At 35.9% G+C, this 19,999-nt stretch overlaps 1 protein-coding gene across 3 annotated transcripts in view; it reads left to right on the top strand.

The window, feature by feature from the left end:
- Window positions 1-19,999, top strand: part of LRP1B (LDL receptor related protein 1B) — a 1,899,594-nt gene that overhangs the window by 926,971 nt on the left and 952,624 nt on the right. For all 3 annotated transcript variants that reach the window (NM_018557.3, XM_017004341.2, XM_047444771.1), the window contains exon 7: window positions 15,463-15,625. In NM_018557.3, the coding sequence (NP_061027.2) occupies window positions 15,463-15,625 (163 nt within the window). The remainder of the gene's footprint in view (window positions 1-15,462; window positions 15,626-19,999) is intronic.

Below are 19,999 nucleotides of genomic sequence, written 5' to 3'. Positions count from 1 at the left end.
TTCCCTCTACACTCTGCTTTAAATGTGTCCCAGAGATTCTGGTACATTGTGTATTCATTCTCATTGGTTTCAAAGAATATCTTTATTTCTGCCTTCATTTCGTTATTTACCCAGTAGTCATTCAGGAACAGGTTTTTCAGTTTCCATGTAGTTGTGTGGTTTTGAGTGAGTTTCTTAATGCTGAGTTCTAATTTGATTGCACTGTGGTCTGAGAGACCATTTGTTATGATTTCCGTTCTTTTGCATTTGCTGAGGAGTGTGTTACTTCCAATTATGTGGTCAATTTCAGAATAAGTGTGATGAGGTGCTGAGAAGAATGTATATTCTGTTGATTTGGGGTGGAGAGTTCCATAGATGTCTATTAGGTCCACTTGGTCCAGAGCTGAGTTCAAGTCCTGAATGTATTTGTTAATTTTCTGTCTCAATCTAACATTGACAGTGGGGTGTTAAAGTCCTCCCCCCCCATTATTGTGTGGGAGTCTAAGTCTCTTTGTAGGTCTCTAAAAACTTGCTTTATGATTCTGGGTGCTCCTGTATTGGGTGCATATATATTTAGGATAGTTAGCTCTTCTTGCTGCATTGATCCCTTTACCATTATGTAATGCCCTTTATCTCTTTGATCTTTATTGCTTTAAAGTCTGTTTTATCACAGATTAGGATTGCAACTCTTTTTTTTTTTCCTTTCCATTCACTTGGTAAATATTCTTCCATCCCTTTACTTTGAGCCTATGTGTGTCTTTGCATGTGAGATGGGTCTCCTGAATACGGCACACCAATGGGTCTTGACTCTTTTTCCAATTTGCCACTCTGTGTCTTTTAATTGGGGCATATAACCTGTTTACATTTAAGGTTAATATTGTTATGTGTGAATTTGATCCTGTCATTATGATGCTATCTAGTTGTTTTCCTCCTTAGTTGATGTAGTTTCTTCATAGTGTTGATGTTCTTTACAATTTGCTATGTTTTTGCAGCGGCTGGTACCAGTTGTTCCTTTCCATGTTTAGTGCTTCCTTCAGGAACTCTTGTAAGGCAGGTCTGGTGGTGACAAAACAGAATAGAAAACCAAGTATCGCATGTTCTCACTCATAATTGGGAGTTGAACACTGACAACACATGGTCATAGGGAGGGGAGCATCACACACCAGGGCCTGTCGGGGGGTGGGGGTTAGGGGAGCAATAACGTTAGGAAAAATACCTGATGTAGGTGACGGGTTGATGGGTGCAGCAAACATGTATACCTATGTAATAAAACTGCACGTTCTGCATATGTACCCCAGAATGGAAAATGTAATAAAAAAATTGGGCAAAAACATGAACAGACATTTCTCAAAAAAGATGTAACGTGTGGCCAACAAACATGAAAGAGTTCAACATCACTGACCACCAGAGAAATGCAAATCAAAACCCCAATAAGATACCATCTCACATCAGTCAGAATGGCTATTATTAAAAAGACAAAAAATAACATACGCTGGCGAGGTTGCAGAGAAAAAAAGGAACACTCATACACTGTTGGTGGGAGTGTTAATTAGTTCAACCATTGTGGAAAGCAATGTGGCAATTCCTCAAAGAGCTAAAAGCAGAACTACCATTCGACCCAGCAATCCCGTTACTGGGTATATACCCAGAAGAATATAAATCATTCTACCATAAAGACACATGCACGTGTATGTTAATTGCAGAACTATTCACAATAGCAAAGATGTGGAATCAACCTTAATGCTTATCAATTGTAGACTAGATACGGAAAATATAGTACATATCACCAAAGAAAACTATGCAGCCACAAAAACAAAACAAAAAACCAAGATCATATCCTTTGCAGTAACATGGATGGAGCTGGAGTTCTCAGTCACAAGTGGGAGCTGAATGATAACACATGGACGCATGAGGTGGGGGCAACAACACACTGAGGCCTGTCAGGGATGGGTGTGGGGGAGAGCATCAGGAAGAATAGCTAGTGGATGCTGGGCTTAATATCTAGGTGATGGAATGATCTGTGTGGCAAACCATCATGGCATATGTTTACCTGTGTAACAAACCTGCACATCCTCCATATGTACCACTGAACTTAAAACTTGAAAAAATAAATATAAAATGTTTGTCAATGGAAACATGGATGAAGAAGCATCTCACAAATATTTGGTCACTGGGTTTCTTGGTTGCAATTTCTTTTAACAGACTGAATGAAACTGATAACATTGATCTAACAGGATCTCCTTTTATTTACAGAATCAGTCCACTAAAAGTATTCAGTCCAGAATCTTCTTCTCTAATTGTATATTAGAGCTAATACTTTGGGGAAACATGCACCATTTCTATTTTCTATTTGTTGTGATTTAGATTCGGAGTCTACAACTTGGTTAGGTTAAGAAATATGACAAAAATGAATAATTAAAAAAGTACAATAATGTTATTTGTATAAAAACATATGTAATAATTATATGAATATAATAATAACTTAAAATATGTATTTTTAGGGACACAAATCAAAACGTAATCTAAAGTAATCTAATATATGCAAACAGAAGTTGTCAAGGTAATTGGTAGTCTCAAATAAAACCGTGGACTAGGTGTCAGTAAATTCTTTCCTAGAGGATAGGAACAAGAGCCATAAACTTCCATGACTGTGAGTCAGAAAATGTTTCTTGGTAGGGGATAGATAAGAAAGCACTCTAGATAGCACTCCAGATAATCACAAGCAGCAAGGCTGTAAAAAGATGTGGCAGTTTTAACGCATAAGTGGATGTGGTAGTATTTCATCCTTAGTACGACATTTTGTCAGAACATTATTTTGATCTTTGCTTTCTTAGCCATTTTTACTCATTCAGACTCACCAGTTGTCACTATTATTTCGCACCGTGTTATGGTGTTATCATCCCTCATACTATTGTTACTCACCCTGGGTACTCATTCCTGCAAATTGCTGTCTGCCTAATTGTCCTTTCATAAAATTACTCATCTATGTTAAATAATATAGGTCCTTCTACACTTATTTCTCAGGTAAAGTGACTTATTATATTTGAGCTCATGGTAAAAGCAAAGAAAATATTGCAGCTGATTAAGGAATGAAAAAGCTATGACTTCAGATGCTGCTTAAACTGACTGAAGAGGTGAGAACATGGATTTTAGGCAGGAATTTTTTGAGCAAAGGCTATTGCAAAAATACAAGTATGTATTTCTAAATATTCACGGAACACTTACTATGGGCTATACACAGTTCTGGGTTTTGGAAATAACGGCAGTGAATTACACATATAGGACCTTTGCTCATATGGGGCTTATATTCTAATGTGGGGAGACAGTGCACTGATAAGTCACTAGTTAACTTCTCAGTGATGAAAACTACAAGAAAAATAAAATTAGGGCAATGGTATACATTGATGGGGATGAGTCACCGCGTGTGTATGCGTGTATGTATGTGTGTGTACATATAGGGGGATAAGTGGTCTTCTTAATATCTACTGGTCAATGGAGTCCTTTCTGAAAAACTGACATTTGAGCAGATACTTGAATGAAGAGAGAGCATAAGCCATGACTATATCAGATATTATTTTGTCTTGAGGGCTAAGTAATGTCTGAAAGATGATTTCATCACCTAGGTATTAAGCCCAGAATCCATTAGCTATTTTTCCTGTTGCTCTCCCCCACACCCACCCCCGGCAGGCCTCAGTGCATTGTTCCCTCCACCTCATGTGTCCATGTGTTCTCATCATTCAGCTCCCACTTGTGACTGAGAACTCCAGCTCCATTCATGTTACTGCAAAGGATATGATCTTGGTTTTTTGTTTTGTTTTTTTGTGGCTACATAGTTTTCTTTGGTGTATATGTACTATATTTCCTTTATCTAGTCTACCAGTGATGAGCATTAAGGTTGATTCCACGTCTTTGCTATTGTGAATAGTTCGGCAATTAACATATACGTGCATGTGTCTTTATGGTAGAATGATTTATATTCTTCTGGGTATATGCCCAGTAATGGGATTGCTGGGTCCAATGGTAGTTCTACTTTTAGCTCTTTGAGGAATTGCCACATTGCTTTCCACAATGGTTGAACTAGTTAACACTCCCACCAACAGGGTGTGAGTGTTCCTTTTTTATCTGAAGCCTTGGAAGCATATGTTATTTTTTGTCTTTTTAATAATAGTCATTCTGATTGATGTGAGATGGTATCTCATTGTGGTTTTGATTTGCATTTCTCCAGTGGTCAGTGATGTTGAGCTCTTTTTCATGTTTGTTGGCCAGATGTATGTCTTCTTTTGAGAAATGTCTGTTCATGTTCTTTGCCCACTTTTTAATGGGGTTGGACAAACATTTTAGATATTGAACTTACTTGATTTGTCAAAATTAATTACATAATGGTAATAAAATGGCACAAGTTCTTGAAGACATAAATTATAAAAATCAATAAGTGTCTTTGCCTTTTTTCAAGAATCAAGACTTAAGGAGCTTTCTCTGCAGGTTCAAAGAAAAGCAGACAAGTGTGACTGCAGTAGAGTGAGCAAAGACAATATTAGAACAGGGAGTTTAGGAGCCTTGTAGTTCATATTAAAGACTTTAAATTCTCTCCTGATCATGGTGGAAAGCCATTGGAGATTTTTAAGTAAAGGAGCAATATTTTGGGGAAAAAAGTGCAGACTGAAGATTTAGAGTAAAACCTGCCGTTGATTAAAACTATGTAGAAGAAAAAAATACACAAATAAAAGCCCACTGAGCCTCAGTTCCTGAGTGGCCTTCATGGTAAAATGTTATAAGAGAAATACTCTAAGGTGTTTTAACATAAAATTGAGCTAAAGTCTAGTAAGCTGAGATGTTGGTAAAGATATTGATGATGTATTTCTGAAAGCATTTGTGCGGGACAGTAAATCTTAAGAGTCTATCAGTTTAAGACTTTTCTTCACTGCAATCTACTGAAACAGAACCCTGATCACAAGGAGCACTGATTTCTTCTATGGTGTCATGGTATAATTTATGTTTTGCAATGATCACTCTGGGTTCTCTGTGAGGAACTTTACAGTGGGTCTAGAAAGGAAGCAGAGAGAGCAGTTATAGAAACTATTGTAGCCATCCAGAAGAGATAAGATAGTGTCTAAACAAGGAGCGTAATAGCAGATATAGAAAGAAGTGGATAGTTTCAAGAGGAGGCTTTAAGATTTATTGATAGATTGAATATGTGGTGAATTGGGGAAAGATAAAAATGGAATGGATGAATACTTTTGATTTGTGGATCGAGTAAGAATATAATGTTTGCCTACTGGGAAAAAGACACCTCTGTGTAAACTATGTTTTCTGCTGTAGGGAAGGGATAACCTGGAGTCTTTTCTAAGTGCATCTACCATAGTAGATAAAATTGGCTTGTGGCCTGTGCTAGAAGAAGGAATTGGGGAAATGGTGTAAAAGTGAGTGGAAGGAGGTACAAAAGCCCAGTCACCTGTGCCTCCTCCCCCAAACAAAAAGCATAAGAATATCCAAGACCCCGCACAGATACCTGATATTGACCTGCCACCAAATGACAGGAGCCCTTTCCTTGTCTTTTTCCAAGAAAGACATGCACAGGTTCTATGTAGAGCTTTGTGACTGCTAGCATTCAGAAGTGTCCTAGATATTTGAATTCATTTTATCTGTTTAAGAAACAGGATCGGAGCATAGATGGGGACAGTCTTTCATTAAAGGAATAAGGAAAGGCTCTGTAATGTGGCACAGAGCCTTCTCTGATTTAGGATGTGCCTGCTCATTGAACTTCCATAATACCATTTTAATTACTGTACCAACCTGACAGAGCCTTTGTTTGTTCAACTCAGTTTGCTTAATTCCTTCCAGGGATAAAGTGAGTACATGCTTCTTGGTAAAGATTATGGTGACATATAAAAGTAAAAATAAATGCAATTATATCATCTTATTCAGTAGGCATTTTCAAACGTTCCTGCAAAGAAATGTGGTATAAAACCTAAATGTTAATTTCCCACTTAAACCATTCAAGAGATACATAAATCGAGGAAAATGGAATAGGTTTCTTCATAATCTTACCTTTTCCTTTAACATCACAACTTATGGGGCAATAATTGAGTAGAAATAAAAATGTTAAAATATTCATAATATACAAGAACAGAAACGTGAATAGAAACAAATCTGGATTTGGAATTTTTCTGATTTTCTGTGATGTCTTCAAAATTTCTGCCATCATTTTTGGCTCCTACACCAAAGCTAGAAGACAACTTAAATGTATCCCATTAAATATGATTACATATTTAATATTGACTAAAGAAAGGTGGTGAGTTTCTGTTACATAACTTCACTACTGCTTTGATACTCTTTGAAGTTACCATATTTCCCTCCTGGAAACTGCAGTATGTTCCTAACTGGTCACTTGTTTTCAGACTTTTCCCCTTTATCTATACAGCAACCAGAATGATCTTTTTCAAATACTGAATAGACATCTCCTTGCCCTGCTTGAAATAGTTCTGGTGACCTTCCATGAAACACTGCAGATGAAACAAGTATTTATATCATATATGTTCTTTTTTGAAAGTCTACTCTAAGTACAGTAAAAAATGCTTTTGAATGTATTAACCCAAAAATACCAAAGAGAAGAGACAAATTATGTGAGACAATTTCGGACAATAAGGAGCAGATAATTAAATAATAAATAAGATTTCATATTTTCCTGCTTTAAGTGAGTGTAAGTAAAAATCTAAGATAAGAACCCCAGCAAGGCTAAACATTTAGAGACTTCAGGCACCAATGAAGGTAGGGTTTTTCCAGTGGGGCTGAGAATAAGAGGATTAGCTTAGAGCCTGTTTTGAAAATAGCTAGGCCTCTAGGTTCCCTAATACAACCCCAACAGACAGGCAATTTCTTATCCACTACTATAGTCTGATCTCACCCTGCTAATAAAGATATACCTGAGACTGGATAATTTATAAAGGAAAGAGGCTTAATTGATTCAAAGTTTCACATAGCTGGGAAGGCCTCACAATCATTGTAGAAGGCAAATGAGGATCAAAATCATGTCTTACATGGTGGCAGGCAAGAGGTTTGTGCAGGGGAACTCCCATTTATAAATCCATCAGATCTCATGAAACTTATTCTCTACCACAAGAACAGTTCAAGGTGAGATACCTTGCATTGTAAGGTGGGGTGGGGATACAGCCAAGGCATATCAACTACTTTGGCAGAAAACAGGGAATTTAATTTCATAAGCAGTAAGTCTCAGGACTAATAAAAGGAAGCCCCCAAACCATGGCGAAGGAGTAAACCGTTGCAGTTTGGAACAGGAAGATGGTAGGCAACAGGAATGATGTCAAAAGTAAACAACAGCAACAATAAAAAACTGACTAGAATACTGATTTTCCATTTGGGGAGGAGTTTTGTAGTTCTTTTGTAGAATTATGCAATAATAAATTCTAAGAAAGAAAAAGAAAAGCTGAAACACAAAGCAATTAACTCTAACTCTAAAAATAACCCAAAACTTGTTCAAGGAAGGAAGTGTAGTAATACTAAACTACTTTCTCACCTATCAACAAAAATGTATATAGTCATAATTATATAAAGACTGAATATTAATTTAACTGAAAATTAGATTGTGGGAGGATGAGGGGAGAGAAAGTGTGAATATATATGTGTGTATGCGTCCATGAGTATGGAGGGGTGTAAAGAATGAATTTCTAGTCTTATATAGCAGAAAGTCGTTAAGTTATATATAAGCTTTAAATTTTAAAAATACTAATAGAAACGTCTTATAGAGAATTACGAAAGTAAATGCACTTGACGTAGCCAAAACAATTGGAAGAGAATGGAGAGGAGTGGAGTGGACACTGCTATTTTTTACCATAAGCCTTGATGGAGTGTTTGACTTTTTAAATCATGCACATTTACTGTATGATAGAAATAAAAATTGCATTGAAAACAAAGGAATTCCTTGGTTTTACAATCCAAAATCCATCCCCTGACCATAGTTTACATATCCCTGCCTATCTTTGCTACCTCATATTTTCTCATTCTTTCTTATTTTAGCTACAAAATAGCCCCTTTACCCCTGCTTCTCATTTTCAGAAAATGCCAAGCTCAGTTCTTCTTGGTAGGCCTTACTGCCCAAATTCCACATGGCTAGCATCTTCTTGTCAGAGCTCAGTTCACATACCATCCTTCTCAGGATGGCTTCCCTAAACAGCCACTCTCTGCCATTTTTCCGTCTTGTTTTCTTCATAACACTAGTCCTATCTGATGCTGCCCTTCTTGAGGATGGGACAATGCAAGGGATCCAGGCCTTGGTTGTGTCCCAATGCACAGAATGACACTTTGATAAAATAGAGCAGACATTTTCAAGAGAGTGTGTCTTTAAATTTCTCAGGGTTCATTTATGAGCATTTACGGATTATCCTCTGTGTTTTCAGCATTAGAGCTGCATGATGGATAATTTCAGGAATCCAAAACAGTTATTGGCGTAGGCAGTCTTGTTTACAGGTTGGTCAGAAAATGATAGCCAAGAGCTGGGAAGCCAACAAAATTCATCTTTAAAAGTTGCAGGGATTTGACTACTGAGTTATCTTTTGCTGCATAAAAGATTATGCCAAGGCTTGCTGACTTTAAAAACAGCAAAGATTATTATCTTACAGTTTCTATGGGTCAGAAATTCAGGAGTGGCTTAGTGAGGTGGTTCTGTTATAGAGACTCTCATGAGGTTGCAATCAAGATGTTAGCCAGGACTGCAGGCATCTGGCATCTTAACTGGAGCTAAAAGACTGGCTTCCAGGCTCACTCTTGTGGCTGCTGGCAGGAAGCCTCAGTTCCTTGCAATGTAGACCACATAGGGCTGCTTGAGTGCCCTCATAGCATGGCAGGTGGCTTCCACCAGAGTGAGTGATCCAAAGAGAGAGAGAACCGAATGGAAGTTACAATGCCTTTTGTGACTTACCCTCAGAAATCATACTCCATCATCTCTTCCACATTCTGTTCAGTAGAAGAACAAAGAACAGCCCACCTTCAGGAGGAGAATTAAGCTTCATCTCTTAAAAGGAGGAGTATCAAAGAATTTGTGGGCATATTTTTAAATTATCACAACTACTGTATATCTTATTAATTTATTGTTTTGGTACTAAAATATTCTCTAGTACATGCACATCACAAGCAGTCAAAAAGATATAAATTAAAGGGCAGTCTTTTTGTTCCCTCTGGGAGATAACTAATATTTTTGAAAAATCTACTGGATGTCACTATCCTGGATTTTTAATATTTGTTACCTGATTTAATCGCCTCACCATTTTGGAGTCTTGGTATTTTGTTTATTTAATATAAGGACAGTTACTCTCATTGATGTTAGTAACCTTTTCAAAAACATGTTTAATTAGAGGGCTAGGCTGAACCGAATGATATACAGTGTTTTCTTTGCTGTGGTGTCATCACACTAGTGGCCCTTGGTCCAATATGGTTGCAGATAGGTTTGGCTGAACACACAAAATGCTTTGTAAATTTTAAAAATTAGTTTATAACATTAAAAAATTGAGAGATTTCAACTGAAATGTGGAAATCATGTTTTGAAGTTCTTTGAAGCAACAAAGCGTCTCTAGATCAAAACAAGTGCTGAAGTTGAGGCTGCCTTTTTTAGGTAGGTGTATACTTTCTGGCCATCATCTAGATTTGCCACAGTCCTGATTAATAAATTTAGCCTATTTATGTTCTCATTCTGATCCTTGTAGACATTTAAATTTGCCATTTCTGGTTGGTAGAAAATCAATATAGAAAATAAAGAAGAAATCAAGTACTGACAATTGCCAGTGTATAATTTTCAAAACGTTAAAAACATGACTTATGTAAATATATAGAGAGCATATGTCAAGCAGACATTTAGCTCATTAACAAGAGAACCAGCAGGATGGCAAAACTGTTTCAAAGTAGAATGGAAGAGGTTGAAATATTTACAGTCGATGAAAGAAAAAGTACTGATATAAGATTGCAAAATTACAGATAAAACTAGTCAATATTGTACTGGACAATGAAAGTGTAAACTTTGCAGTTATCTTTTCTACCTGATGGAAATCATTTGCATCTCTATTGGAGAAAAAGTATTTTTAATGCATCAATCTAAACATGGATTTAAACAAATTAAATCCATAGAGAAGGGGACCTAAGCAATATTTGCTTGAAATTATAAGTCAAACAAAGGTATATTCCCCAGGAGAATGAAGTAATCCTTGGATGGCCTTGTTAGACAATGGTTCAGAATGACATAAAAAAGACAAACAACAATTCCTTTTATTTTTATTTTTTTTTTTAAGCAAGATTTGACTTTCTCAATTTTGTGGGTTTTTTTTTCTAACTTTTATTTTAGGTTCGGGGTACAAGGGCAGGTTTGTTACATAGGTAAACTTGTGTTATGGGGGTTTGTTGTACAGATTATTTCATTGCCAAGTCCCCAAAAGTTGTCTTTTCTACTCCTCTCCCTCCTCCCATCCTCCACCCTCAAGTAGACTCCAGTGTCTATTGTTCCCTTCTTTGTGTTCATGAGTTCTCATCATTCAGCTCCTACTAATACATGAGAACATGAAGTATTTTGATTTCTGTTTCTGTCTTAGTTTGCTAATAACCTCCAGCTCCATTCATATTCCTGCAAACAACATAATCTCATTCCTTTTTATTGCTGCATAGTATTCCATGGTATATATATGCACCATGTTTTCTTTATCCAATCAGTCACGATGAGCATTTAGGTTGATTCCATGTCTTTGCTATTGTGAATGGTGCTTATAGTGCTGTGTTAAACATTCAAGTGCTTGTGTCTTTATCATAGAATGATTTATATTCCTCTGGGTATATACACAGTAATGGGATTGCTGGGTTAAATGGTAGTTCTGCTTTTAGCTCTTTGAGGAATTGCCATACTGCTTTCTACAATGGTTGAACTAATTTACGATCCCATCGACAATGTGTAAGTGTTCCCTTTTCTCTGCAACCTTGCCAGCATCTGTTATTTTTTGACTTTAAAATGTTTCAGTTCTATGTTCACCAATTCTGGTAATTCATTACTTGCCTCATAATATAACAAAAAAATTGATGTGTCATTTTATAGCCAATTATGAGTTATCACTACAACTATTCATTTTTTAAACTCTTTTCTGAATGTTTCATTCTCATTAATTATTACTCGGTGCAAATTTAAGTTTTTAAATCTAACAAATAACAAGTTTTAAAAACATAGTTGCTTGTATTTATATACTACTTTACAAGTTTCAAAATATTTTTATTCTTTTTTTCTTCTACTTTTGCCAATGTTGATATTTAGAGTTATCGATATTTCAGAAGATGAGTGGTCAGTACTTTCAGATGATATTGATATAGAGCAGAAAATTTCTCACTAACTTTTGACAATTAAGGAATGTTAAGTAATCAAAATAAGAGCCACTTCAAAGGAACAATGAGAGCAAAATCCAGGTGACTTTTGGTTGAAAAAAAGAATAAGTAGCAACTAAAAAAATATGGTAAGAAGAAAATATTTAAAATTTTGTTCCAGTAACAGTAAAGCAATAAGGGACTTACATTTTGAGATATTTTAGTAATGTCATAAAATGATTATGGTTATTTTCATTCATCTCCTATGAACTTTGTTATATTTCAGCAAAATTAAGGTAAAATACTCAATACTTTAGGAAATTCACTTCGCTCCTAAAAATGTTCAAATCATTTTCTGATTTCTGAAGACAGGTATATAATTTAGACTTTTAAAAATTCTAGTTTCCAGGCTGGTTGAAAAAAGCTTCCTGTAATTTGGAAAACCTTTAAATGCTTATTAAATTTGGTCAAATTTATCCGTTCATCCATCTAATGCATTTATGTATTGGCTTACTTGCTTGAACTCTTTGTCTAATTGCCTCAACTCTTTAATTCTAATACAAATTAAATTAAAAGCAGACACTTCAACTATAAAATGAGGAACAAAGCCAATTCCCCATAGTTACTAAGTGTTTGGCTTATTATTAAGTTCTGTAGTGAGATCTCAATGCTTCAAAGTTGCATGACTGGTAACAGTATCTATTGTTTCAGTGGCAGAAAATCTTTCTGAAATGATAAAGAGTTGAGAGAAGGTATGAATGCTGTCAAACAGCTCTTTTGTCTGAAATTACAATTGTATAAACTAAAGCAACTGCATGCCCAGCTTGAGGGATGGGTCATTGAATGGACTCTGGCACATACTTTATCTGAACCCAAGATATTTGAAACGACATTTGTAACAGTGAGTTCTGAGCTCTAGCTGATATAATAATACAAAAAGACTCAAAAACAAAGCAAACCATACATTCCAGATTTCTCAAGACAGATAAATAATTCACACTTTTAAAGCCCTGGTTAATGGACTGGTTGAAAAAAAAAAAGCTTATTTTTGTTTGGGAAAAATTTAAATATTTATGATTTTATAAAGACTGTATAATTTAGGAATAAAACTAGTATCAATAGCCTGAAAATCTCTATCCAATTAATTGCAGTATCTTCTTTCTGCTTATCCTTGTAGGAGGTGATAGACATTCCCACAAAGTTTCTGCCTTCTCTACCTTGTTTTGACAATATACCCTTACAAATGGTAATGCTGACACATATGTCTATGTTAGTCTTACTATTAAGAGAACATCAATAGAAGCAGCATGTTACTGAGGAAGTATTTTGAGGCATAGGATAGGAGGAAAGTTTAGGCTCAGATTGCAGAAGGAAACTCTTTTAGGGGAGGAAAAAATATAATTTTGACCTGTTTTAAGTTCTCCAGCTGGGACCATGCCAATTAGACTAACAAAAGATTAACAAGAGAAAAATACACACATTTATTTAATATAAATTTTATGTGACACAGAAGCATTCATAAGGAAATGAAGACCCAAAGAGATGGTTGAGCCTGAGTATTTTCATACTAAGTATGATGAAGAGTAGAAAGTTATGGAGAGAACATGATAGGGCATGGTTAAGAGCTAAGAATAGTAAATGGGGCATTTAGCATCACCTGTTCAGATTTCTCTGTTTCCCACCATCTTTGGAAATAAGGATGTTTCTTTCCTCTGGAGGTAGGGAGGTCACCTCTCACTTGAGGATCTTATGACCTACTCCAGGGGAGAAGGATAAGGTTAGAGAGTTTTTGCAGTATTTGCTGTTTCTATGACCTCCTTCAGAGGAAAGGAGAAAGTTAGGGAGCCCTTCTTCAACCTGCTATTTCTCAAATTCCTTCAATATGCCAAAGTGCCATATTGTGGAGTAGACTGTTCATAAGCTTGTCACTCTGTTTAGTCAGTGAATCATAGATTCATTCTAAGTTCGAGAAAGGAAGTATCAAAGTATAATTTTCAAAAGTTAAAAATGTGACTATAATAAAAATCTAGAATGAACATAGATCAGAAAATTACTTATGGCATTATTGAGGGAAACAGACCAGTATTGCTGGTCTAACCTCATTAGAGGAATTGGGTATTTATAGGTATTTTAATGAAAAATAATGTTTAAATGAGATTCATAGGTTAGGCATATAAATGTTTAATACCTCACAGGGCAATAAAACCATAACCTTTGAATTTATCATTTTTATCAGAGAAGTATCTACAAATTAACATGCAATTTCAGTGTATGGCTGATCAAAAAATACTCAAGTCAAGACAGATAAGCTCTTCTAAAGCTGCAGCATTGAGAATAGCGTAGGGGCAAAAAGAACTTTGCTTCTACCCTGTGAAGATTCTGTAATTTCAGTCTCTGGAATAAACTTGACAGCAGACATATTAAGAGGAGAAAAGGGATGCCAATTTATTACATGCATACTCACTGGGGTTCCACAGAGTATACGACTCCAAAAAAGACCAGATGGCTGAAGATAGTATAGTATCCTGAGCTACAGAAAACAATAAAGGTGTGGGTTTCAGGTGGTGACAGGTTATAGGAGGTTGAGGGGAGGAAATGCATGGAGAACAAAGGTTGTCTTGATATGCAGGTTCTCTCAGGCAGCAGTCCTCAGCAAAAGACGTGGTGTGTTGACCTTCAGCCTCTTTTCTTCTGACTTAATCTTTCTGGTCTGATGAGATTATAGGTAGTGGGTTTATTACAGATGCTTTCTTTCTTTCTTTTCTTCCTTTTCTTTCTTTCTTTCTTCTAAAGGAACTTCACTTTGTCAGATAAGGGAACTTCAGAGAAAACCCATCCCTGCATTGGCTGCTCCCCAGGTACTTTGCAGTCTGAAGTTCAAAGCGGCATATATTTTGGGATACCTTTTTCTAAGCCGCAACAGTAGTCACTAGCTACCTATGTCATTTAAATTTAAATTCCAGTTAATTAAAATTAGATATGATAAAAATTCAATTTTCCAGTCATAGTAGTCACTTGTTAAATTTGGCTAGTGGTTACTTTATGGGACAGCATAAATATGGAATTTTTTTATTGTTGACCTAAAAGGAAGAAGCTGAGGCCAAATTAATCTAAGTAGAGAGTTTATTGGGACCAAGCTTGAGGATTGCAACCCAGTAGTACAGATTCAGTTTGCTCTGAATGTATACTCCTATTAGCAGCAGTTACAAGTAGGTTTTTAAAGGGAAAGAAGAGACCCTTCCTAACTTGTTTACTAAGAATTTACATTAAAGTAACATAAGTTATTGATTGGCTATACATTGTTCTTTGTATCACAAGTTCCAGGAACATGAAGATAATGAGTGAGACAGCTAGTCAGAACTGAAATGTCTTTAAACAGCTGCCCCTGGGCTCAGGTGTGGAAGGTATAGCTGAAATCCCATACTCAAGTCTCTCTGAGCCTGATTAATTTTGCATACCTCACATAGCTCAGACTGCTCTTAGCTATTTTTCTTTTCTCACCATCACTGTAGAAAGTGCTGTTGGGCAGCACTCTTCTAGAGAATTAATTAATCAGTCCTTGAGCAAGCCTTTTTTACAATTCCTAAGTATGCCATTGAAAGAAATTATCACCCCTCCATTTGCTTTATTTCCAAGTTTTGGATATTTTTTCAAACAAAGGAATCTTATAGATCTCCTTTTCCATCTTCTCCACCCTTTCCTTCTTTTAATAAAAGGGAATCTGAAAACAAGGATTTGCCTTACACTCAGAAAAGGTATTTATTCCTCACTACTACAGAGTTTAGCTGTGCTATTGAATCAGTTCTGTTCATTCCATCGAATGAACTATTTTGGACAAATGCAAAAAGTAAGAGATTACATTCTAAATACCTATATTTTAAAACGTGGAAACTCTTTATGCATGTATCTAGGTCGTCTTCAGTCTTCAGATAGCAAGAAGAAAGGCACCAAGATAATTATTTTACATAATTATTAAGTCACATTTTGGCATAGCAAGAGACTTTGCAGTTTCTTTTCATAAAAATGTCTATACTTTTGAAATGTCCTCTATGATGGTTTGGAAACACTTATGTTATTTTTGGATCATGATGCTAGATTGCACCTGTGATTCAATGATTTTGTGTATGTGTTTTTCAGATGTGCAACAAATGGCGATTGACTGGCTCACTCGAAATCTCTATTTTGTGGACCATGTCGGTGACCGGATCTTTGTTTGTAATTCCAACGGTTCTGTATGTGTCACCCTGATTGATCTGGAGCTTCACAATCCTAAAGCAATAGCAGTAGATCCAATAGCAGGGTAAGAAATTCTTTATAGTGTTTGGTCTAAAAAAGTTTGCGTTTAAAAAGAAAAGATTGAAGTATGACAAGTGTTGTTGTGGAAAATAAGACTACAGACTCAAACTTTTTAGAAATGTTGATTTTAACAACTGTGTCGCAGGAAGGAAAAAAGGCTATAACTCACCAGGCAGAAGCTGGTGAGTTATTAGTGTATGAATATTGCAGGTCTAATGTAAGACACAAATAACCTTCCATCTTCCCTTCCACCTTCCCAAGAATTGCATCAGGGTCATCAGAGAAAAGCCTCAGCATATTTTTAGGTTAAAGAGAGGAAACTTTTTAATGCTTAACAGTGGACTTTTTCGTTAGCAAACCTCCAGAATGCTACTTGAAGGATGTACTGTTGACATACTTATATCCAGCATAACGTTTAGGATTTACAAAAGGGGCACAACATATGTTTACCCAGATACTAGTAAAACATTAAAAATATCTTTGTTCAGACTCTTACGTTCGATGACTGTTGATATGTAAACCCAAATATTATTATGGTGTTAGTGAATTCCTCATCAGAATTCATCTTCTTTTTTTTTTAACTTCCCAATTTTGCAAGCTACTTTATTGGTTAAATAGAGACCTTCTGACATTCTTTAGCTAATAGACTCATTAATCTTTTTACCATATTTCATAATTTATAAAAATATAGTCATAAAATGTTTAAATTCCCATCATCTTTGTTCATATGATTAGAAAATCAATACAGGAATTATGCTTTTATTTTACAAATATGGTGGTATTATTAGAGGGCCAGGAGGAAAACTCAGTTCTTTCAGCAGTCACTACTGGGCAAGGATACTTTCAAATTAACCACATAGTGTACCACCTTATTTGAAGGAGCTGTTATTTTTTAAGATGTAAATTGTAGCAAAGATTTGAAAACTGAAATTCTATCCTTGTTATTGTTTTAATAGTCCTCAGGCAGTTCAGGCTGAAATGTCTGATGGAACATATCCTAAACTGCCATAAGCCTCCATTCAATAAATGGGAAAATATTTACTGAAGAAACAGCTGTCATCCATATGTGGACTTTCGTCACTCTTTACTTAAAGTCTGATTGAATATTAAGACGCATCATCACAATGGTTCTGATTTTGACAAGAACAGCTTGCACGTAAGAACTTTGCTGGGAAGGCTGTGTAATATAATTCTTGAATGTAGCTCTATTTGTATTTGCAGCAGATGGTTACTTGACTCAATCTGACTGCAGTGATGCTTCAAAAGACATTAGGAAAAGAAGTCGTATTTAGACTGATTTGTTTGGGTTGTTGGATAAGGGCAGTAAGAAAGAATTGGAAATTTACAAACGCACTAACAACATTCTTTTGGCATCCTGTTGAGAAATATATTGCTTGCATGTTTTTCCCTGGATGTGATAACTGAATTTCAGATTAGCCTTTAGACAGCAGTGTCTGTCAAATGTTAAGAGGTGAAACTATAAAACTATTGTGTTTTTCCCCTTTTTCTACTGCTCTTATCCTTCCCCATTCTTAAAAACAAAGATCCAGAGGCCCTTTTCAAATAAAACTGCCAATCTGAAATATATGGGAACACCATCTCTCTTTCTGAACAACAATATACTTTCTGTTCTCAGGTTTCCTGTTTCTCCCTGTCATTGTATGAAAGAACCATATTTTATCATTTTTGTCACAGGAATTAAGAGTAGAAAACCCCCACATCATTTGCTCTTATTCTCTGCTGGATTCCTTCAAGCCTCATAACTGTTTAAATGTAATTTTGTCATGTATCATTTATCAGAATAGGTTCTTTGGAATTTTTGTTTGAGTTAGTTCTGTCTCTATAGCACTGTTTTTAATCATGAATCATAGATATCAGAGAAGGAAATGCTCAACTCTTTTATAAATACAGGCCTGGTTGCCACAGAACACTTTAAAATACATTCTATTTTTCTCTTAATATCAGAAATTTAGTTAGGATTGATGTGATTCTATCTAAGAACGGAACAGGAGATTTTTCCTTTATCTTCTACATTTGGGCCTGCTCTAGAATAATTTGAATAGTTTTTTGGTTAGAAAAACTGCACATGACCTACTAAAGGGGAAATGTTCTGCGCCTAAAATTCCTCCTAGGTTTTCCTAATTTTACAGGATGATATGTATTTGGCCTTGACTATTATAACTTCTGTTCAGAAAATATCAGAATGTATTAATAATCTGACCTAACTCCTAGAGCTTGACCTTCATAGATTTTAAAATGGAGAAAAATTTGCCTTACCCCCCAAAAGGATGCCTGGAGAAAGTACCTGTTACTTAAGCATACTGGTTTTTTTTTTTTTTTTTTTTTGAGACAGAGTCTCGTTCTATCGCTCAAGCTGGAGTACAGTGGCACAATCTCCTCTCACTGCAACCTCTGCCTCCAGGGTTCAAGCGATTCTCCTGCCTCAGCCTCCTGAGTAGCTGGGATGACAGTTGCCTACCACCAAGCCTGGCTAATTTTTGTATTTTTAGTAGAGATGGGGTTTCACCACATTGGCTAGGTTGGTCTCAAACTGCTGACCTCTTGTGATCCTCCCACCTCGGCCTCCCAAAGTACTGGGATTACAGGTGTGAGCCTCTGCACCTGGCACTTAAGCATATTTGTAACTTCATTTTTCTCAACCTCCTATTCTTTTGTTGCTAAGGACTATTGAAGAAATATAATTTTTTGGTTCTTGTTTTTTTTTTTGTTTTTTTTTGTTTGTTTGTTTTTCAGTTCTCCATGGTTTAAATATAGATTACTAACTTTCTCTGGACTCCCATTATGACTTGAGCCAAGCTCCAGTCCCAGTCTTCCAAGAAGAGATTTTTAAATCAACCTTGTTTTTAATTTTAGATTTTTAGATGTGGACATTGACTCATTAATTCAGACTATTTCCCAGAGATGCTTCTAGAGATTTTCTTCTTCCTTTCAAAAGTTTTTAGCAACATTTCCTTTCAATAGTTCCTTGGAAAACTTTCCGAAATTATTTCTCTATAGTCATTAGAGTTGGCAGGTAGCATAGAGATCATATTCCAACCAACATCAAAAACAGCATTTCTGTCAGATGGTTAGTAGGTCTCTGCTTCTTTAATGGTTATGAACTTGATGCTGGAGTCAGTCTTACTGAGATCAAATCCTGGCTCCACCAGTTACTAGCTGTGTGACTTTGGATATTTCTTCTGCCTTTGTTTTATTGTCATAAAAATGTGAATTATGATAGTGCTGCCCTGCAGGGCTGTTGAAAGAATTAAATAAGGTCAAATACATAAAGAACCTTAACATTTTCTGAGTTGTGGAATATGTGAAGTTTCTTCTTCATTTCGCCTCAATGATAATTGCTAATATTTTCAACACTTGTGATACCATTACGAATAGAATAATGAGACCAATATTCTACCCCATCAAAGATGACCTTTTTCTTTTCAACCTTGTTCTCTTTCTACTACAAATCCTTCTAAAAAGGTCTATTTCATACAGATTAAATCTATTATATAATAAAGTGTTGAGAAAAAGAGGAGAGAAAATAAGAAAAAAAATGAAGTGTAGCCTAGGGAAGAAATAAAGATGAAGGGTATGTAAGGTGTAGGAGGAGAAAAGTATAGGGTACCTCTGAGTATGGCTCGGTGGGCATGGAGGGGAACCTTTTTTCTTACCCATCGCTGCACTTTGGCTGAGGCACCTATAATAAAAGACATATTGATAAGAGAAAAGCATACAAAGGTACTTACAAGTTTGACGTGACATAGGAGCTATTAGAAATGAACATCTGAAGTAATGGAAAACCCTGTTTTTTTTTTTTAATGTAACATTTGATGAAGTGGATAGCTGTGGAGAAGCACGATTGAAAAAAAGGGGTATAATCTAATGATAATCAACTGGGGGAAACTTAGTGAGGCCTGTGCGTTCAGTTTCTTCTCTGTGTCCCCAAGTTTTCAGAGATATGGAAGCTCCTTTCCTCCGGGTATAGAGTGGGCACCTCTCACATGAGGTTCTTATGATCTACTTCAGAGAAAGGTCAGATGATTTTTTTGATGGCCTGCATCAGGGGAGAAGGGACATCTGCTTCTGCTGTTTTCTCAACTGCCAAGGTGCCAGATTTTGGGTTAGCATGTCCTCTGAGGACACCATAAGGGAAGATGTAACAGAGGAACAACCTTATTCTAACAATTGCTGTTATGCAAGATATATTTGGATTACTTTCAAGGTCTTTCAAAAGACAAGAGTAAAGAATAAAATTCTATTGTAGTTACTTTTGTCTGTGGAACTGCATTTTTGAACATGACACTGCTTCAATATCAAACTATTTAGTATTGGGGTCTAATGAGGATTGTAACTGAGGTCAGGGGTGGAGCTAGTC

Source organism: Homo sapiens, chromosome 2, assembly GCF_000001405.40.
Source record: "Homo sapiens chromosome 2, GRCh38.p14 Primary Assembly".
NCBI classification, from domain to species: Eukaryota; Metazoa; Chordata; class Mammalia; order Primates; family Hominidae; genus Homo; species Homo sapiens.
Note: the sequence above shows the minus strand (reverse complement) of the source record. Positions and strands in the feature narration are given on the sequence as shown.